Genomic DNA, 6,447 nt, shown 5'->3' on the forward strand with positions numbered 1-6,447 from the left:
TCAGGAATTCCTTACAGCCCAGTCTTATGTTAACACTTCACTTTCTCCCCTTTAAAAGTCATTTTTATTAACAACAAAATTCCTTCCTTGTGATATAAGATTTTTTCTTTTTTGTTACTTTTCTGATTATTTTTAAGGACAAGACTTCCAATTTCTTCTAACTTTATGATTCTCATAAAAATAAATCTCATTTATTCTGTTTTTTAATCCTAAGGATAACTTTAGCTGTTATTCTAAGATACTATTTCTAAGCATAGTGCTTTGGGTTTTGATAAATAACCCAAGCTATACAGAGAACATTCAGATGGATTAAAAGTGAAGAAATAAGAAAAAGCAAGCCAAATAGTTTTGTTTTTTTTTTTTTTCTTATCAGCAGGCTTGTCCTCTGGGAATGGCTAGTAAATCACAGATAAAAATTTTAAAATCACTTTATGACTCTCTGGGGAAGAGCTGCTGGAGGAGGGCACTAAGATTCCTGGTTAAAATTATTCCAGACAGGTCTGTGGAATGGATGGATGATGCTCAGTTCCATTTGGTTTAAAGTTTCAAAATCTTTGCTCCAGTTAGAATCAGAATGTGTCATGACTACAAATAATTGCTAAATTTACCCTGTTATTTAAGAAACGACAAAAGAATGATTCAGCGTTAATAAGTCATTTTTTCCCAGAGGCCTCCATGAGCTATAACTGAGAAGCTCTGACTCAGACATCATAAGCCATTTTATTGCACAGCACCACAAGGTACAGCTGACACTCTATCAGATCTTGTAGTTTATAAAGAAAGCATCTTATTCCTTATATTCTTTTATCCTAATAGGAATACTCTCCAGCAAATCAAGAACCTAAGAGATGAGGAAATGGAATTTCAGGGTGTAAAGAATTCTTAAAATTGTATGTTGCCTGGGCATTCATTTTGAATACACGTTTTACTTTCTCATACCAGGGCTCAGTCACCATCGACACAGTTTCTAGTTCTATGCCACACCCAAATGACTCAAGCCACAGATAAGAACTTTAAGTCAGTGCAGGCAAATGCCTTGATGGTTCCTCACAGGAAGGATAGGCAAAAAGGGAGCCCATTCTGCCAGGGAGGAGAGATGACTCAAGTTGTGACTGAGTCTTCACTACACCCTAGTTCTTTAGGAGGCAGCCCCAGGCCAGGTTTTTCCTGGAACAGTGGGGTGGGGCTTTGGGGGGCGGTTTGAACGAGAAGAGTCAAACTTTGTAAAATACTTGAAGAGATTTATTCTGAGCCAAATATGAGTAACCTCTCAGGAGGTCATGAGAACGTGTGCCCCAGGTGGTTGGGGCGCAGCTCGGTTTTATACATTTTGGAGAGGCATGATACATCAATCAAATACAGTTAATAAATACATTGGTTTGGTACAAAAAGGCAGGACAACTCAAAGCATGGGGGCTTCCAGGCTATAGGTGAATTTAAACATTTTTGATTGACAATTGGCTGAGTTTGTCTAAAGACCTTGGATTGATAGGAAGGGGATGTTCAAGTTAAGATAAAAGGTTGTAGAGACCAAAGTTCTTTTGAAGTCTTATAATGGCTGCCCTTAGAGACAATAGATGACAAATGTTTTCTATTCAGATCTTAATTAATCTGTTTAGGATTGGGAAGGTCTAGCAGGAAAAGATCTAGCTATGTTAATGAAGATTCTCTACAGATGAAAATTTTCCCCCCACAAAGAACAGCTTTGCTGGATCATTTCAAAATATGTCAAATAAACATCTTTTGGGGCAAAATAATTTGATTTCTTCCTTGTCTCATAATGTTATGCCAGAGTCAGGTTGGAAAGTAAGTCACGATATATAGGACTAAATAAAACCCATCTGATAAGAATTTATGATTTGTAGGGCATGACTCCCCAGGACTCCTAAATAGGAATTTGGGCAAGACAAAAAATCAGAGTTTAGTTCAAAGCGGTGTACAAGGTGAGCTCTCCCATTACCAGAATGATGCTCAGACAGGAATAAACTGATCAGGGGTCAGAGAAGAGCCACAATGGCATCTGCCAGTATAAACAAGTTTTCCGTGTGAGGGGCTCTCTATCTCAGGCAGGACAACTAGGCATTAAGCCTTCTACCAGGTAAAAAAAAAAAAAAAAAAAAGGCCTCCCGTGAAAGGCTCACTGTAAACATCCACATCTGGCTCTTGTTTATTTATGATTAGGACACTGTTGCTGGCCACCCTGTTGCTCTGGTATTGGAACACCAAGTGAGCTGGGTACACTCAAAACACAGAGCTGTTGATGGTACAAGTGTTCTCAGAAGTTAGTCCTTAAATCTTTGTCTTCTGATGCTCAGCAAGGTATCTTTCATTCACTGAGGTTGTTTTCTAGAAAACAAGGTCACTTAATTCAGATGTAAAGTGATAAACTTAGTTTTAGCTGCACATATTCCAAAGCATTGAGTTTTGTTTTGAAATGAATTTGACCAAGTTTGAAAAAAAAAAATTCTTGTTTAATTATTGTTGTTTTGGATTTCTTTTGTATCTGAAACAGTTTGAAAAATAACAATGATTTATTTTTCATTCTGCAGAATATGTTGAATATTCATTTAATAAGTTGACCTCAAATTCTCCATGAAAATAGAGTCCAAATTGGATTTGGACCACGTTTTCAATTTTTGTGTCACTGCTTCTCTCAAGAAAGATCACATGGTAACATTTATTCAATAAATATTTATTTACTATTCTTCACATATGCTAGACACTGTTTAGTCCTGGATATATGATAATAGAGTAAGTGAGTCTCAGTCCTTACCAAGAGAATTTTTACTGTGCTTGCAGAAAAGGAAAAATTGAATAAGTCATATAACACATTCAAACACATTATTTTCCTTTTGGTTATGATACTGATGATCTTCAACACTCCTAAACCTATAACGAGTTCAGTAATCAATTGCCTCTGGCAAGAGAAAAGATGCAACTGACAACAAATCATATTTTGCTTGGTCTCTACTAGCTATACGTTAGAGACTACTAATTTTATCTTTGCCAAGTGAAAGCCTCAGAAGAAGACACACCTTCTGAGTACTCTACTTAGTAAGAATGAAAGTAAACATATCTAACTCAGGTAGGCTAATTTCCCTCCAGCTGGAGAAGTCTCTAATTAACAATTGACTCATAATTGTTTTCCTTATTTGCAAATTAAAGGGCAAGAATTAGGGTGTGATTAGGATGTGATTAACAAATAAAGCCAGTGACTTGTCTTAGTGCCGGAAGACAATACCTGCCACTATCTGTTCAAACAATTTAGAGGCTACTCTCATGCCACTTCCACTGCCTCCAGAAGGCTTGGGAGTGGAGTGAGAAATAGCATTTGTGTTATGGGTTAAAAGGCAAATGCGAAAGATGAAAAAAAAGTTTTCATCTGAATGAGGGTCTACGCCCCCTTAATTTTACCTTTAAGAGTAACTTTTTGCTTTTATAAAGCCTTTTTGTTAATTTGCTAGAAGTTTTCTATGGCCCTAATCTATGACAGATGCTGAGCCCCAAACAATGAATAAGGCACATCCTTTGCTTTCAAGGATCAATGGGCAGAGAATAAGATTAGAGTGCATGCCATTTATGTGTTGTGTGAGATAGCTATGGTCACCTTTTCAATTCTAAATGTATGATGTCAAATTTGTGAATAGGAAAATAATGTCATTCCATCTCTGGAAATTATTTACTTAAATTCACAATTACTAGAAAATTTAAATGCATAATTTACAAAATTCGCATGTACAACACACATATCAAGAAAACGATGTTGGCCAGGCATGGTGGCTCACACCTGTAATCCCAGGACTTTGAGAGGCCAAGATGGGTGGATCATGAGGTCAAGAGATCGAGACCATCCTGGTCAATATGGTGACCCCCATCTCTACTAAAACTACAAAAATTAGCTGGGGGTGGTGGCACGCGCCTGTAGTTCCAGCTACTCAGGAGGCTGAGGCAGGAGAATCGCTTGAACCTGGGACATGGAGGTTGCAGTGAGCCAAGATCACACCATTGAACTCCAGCCTGGCAACAGAGCGAGACTCAGTCTCAAAAAAAAAAAAATAGCATTCTTGGCATCTTGCACCTGCTCTGGTCTATAAATAAACATTTTAAATATTACAATATTACTTATCAGACATGAATTTAGTAAAATTAAAAGATAGTATTTATTTTGTGTCACTATGTGATCTATCTCTCTAAGACTGTAAGATGAAAGAAAAATATGCCTGGGTTCTGGAGCAGAAATAAATCATGGTGAGTAATCCCAAGCCATATCTTACTAGCTGTGTAACCATAGGAAGAACATTTAACTCTAGCGCTAAAATGAGATGAATACTTATTTTAGAGGAGAGACTAGTAATACAGATTAAATAATATTGTGGCAATAAATCTCCTAATATAAATCTGTTTAGTGGTAGACATTTTTGGTATGTAGAAATAGATACATATTAAAATATCTAAAACAAAGTAGCAATAATAAGGGTAAGTTTAGGTTGAAATATCCACACATATTATTTCAGCCATGTATTTTTGCCAAATACAATTTTTGTTCAGCATTTGGCATCAACAAAACGAATTAATGCATACCTGCACTAGTCTTGTCATCACCCAGGAGACAATAAGCTTAAATTTCTCTTAGGTGGGGTCTGACAACTGATGGGCTCTAGCATTTTCTGTTCTTGAAGAAGACACAAGATAGTACACTGAAGAGCATCTACTTCAATAATTCTTTTCTTGTGTGTATACAAATTTAAAAAAGAAAACAGTAATATAAATACAACTACGAAGGGTCTATAAATCATGTCTTCCCTAGATAGTCTTTTTTCTTATGGCAGTGATTGGCTGTGATGTTTTCCAGTTATATAATCCTTTGAGTTTAGAATCTGGCCATCATTTAAACAATAACTTATCTAAAACATTATTTAATCATAGAGGAGACAGAAATTTGTCCAAAAACAGGCAGGGGTGTAATTCATCCAACAATGAGTAACTCAATGATATACACACCATAGTTGAACCAATTAATATTGATCCAAATGCATTTAATCTGAGTTCAGCAATGCCAGCAATCCAATTAAGCTCAAGATTCCATAAAAGCTACATTTTATTAATCAAATGACATTTAAAGATGTTTTATTTTGTTCTTTACTTTATTTTTAAGGATGAACAGATTAGGAACTTGGAGGTTTTCCAGTAATTCAAAATATTCAATGTCAAATGAGTTGTTACCTATTGATTTTTTAAAAAGACTTAAACTCAAGCAAAGTATAACGTTTTAGAACTCACTTTGAAATAATTAAATACCATATATATTTTGCTCGAAAGAAGCAAAGACAGATGTATTTTTAAATTAATACACAATACACACAATAAGCCTAGTGAATCTCAAAAATATATTCTACAGTCTACACATTATATTTAAACTTTTAGCTTACATTTTAAACAATGATTGCAGCTTATAATATAGCTTACATTGTAAAGAAAAGTGACACAATTAACTTTATAGTATATATTATATTTAAATATAATATGTGTTAATATATAAAATATATATGTCATATATGTTGTATGTAATATATTTATTATATATTATATAAGTATTATGTAGTATATACAAATTTTAATTATATTTATATTTAATAATTTATATTTATAATTTAATAATATATAATTAACAGGTAAGTATATATTTATATATAAAATAAACATATATTTTATATAAATATAAATATACTTATATAAATTTATATGTATATATGAAATTTAAATATATTTATATTTCCTATAAATATAAATATATAAGTATATATATAATTAAAGTATATATATTTTAATTTTATATATAATATATAAATATATTAAATATATAATATATAAATATATTAAATATATAATATATAAATATATTAAATATATAATATATAATATAAATATATTATATTAATATATAATATAATTATATTATATATTATGTATATTATATTATATAATTATATATTATGTATATTATATTATATAACAATATATTATATATTATATATATTATATTATATAACAATATATTATATATTATATATTATATTATATAACAATATATTATATATTATATATTATATTACAATATATTATATATTATATATTATATTACAATATATGATATATATTATATATATATAATATATATATAATATATATATAATATATAATAAAAATATATATAAAAATATAATATAATATTATATATCTTATATATATAATATATAATAATATAATATAATATTATATATTATATTATATCTTATATATATAATATATAATAATATAATATAATATTATATATTATATTATATCTTATATATTATATATAATAATATAATATAATATTATATATTATATTATATCTTATATATTATAATATATAATAATATAATATAATATTATATATTATGTTAT

General features: G+C 30.8%; 1 annotated feature.

Annotated features, from left to right (window-relative positions):
* Positions 303 to 1,502: an enhancer, noted in NCBI's record as "P300/CBP strongly-dependent group 1 enhancer chr6:48794410-48795609 (GRCh37/hg19 assembly coordinates)". NCBI's record gives its function as "activates an origin of replication core promoter dependent on BRD2, BRD4, P300/CBP, MED14 and CDK7 cofactors, with strong dependence on P300/CBP, by STARR-seq in HCT116 cells {active_cell/tissue: HCT116}" and the evidence as "EXISTENCE:reporter gene assay evidence [ECO:0000049][PMID:35650434]".

Source organism: Homo sapiens, chromosome 6, assembly GCF_000001405.40.
Source record: "Homo sapiens chromosome 6, GRCh38.p14 Primary Assembly".
NCBI classification, from domain to species: Eukaryota; Metazoa; Chordata; class Mammalia; order Primates; family Hominidae; genus Homo; species Homo sapiens.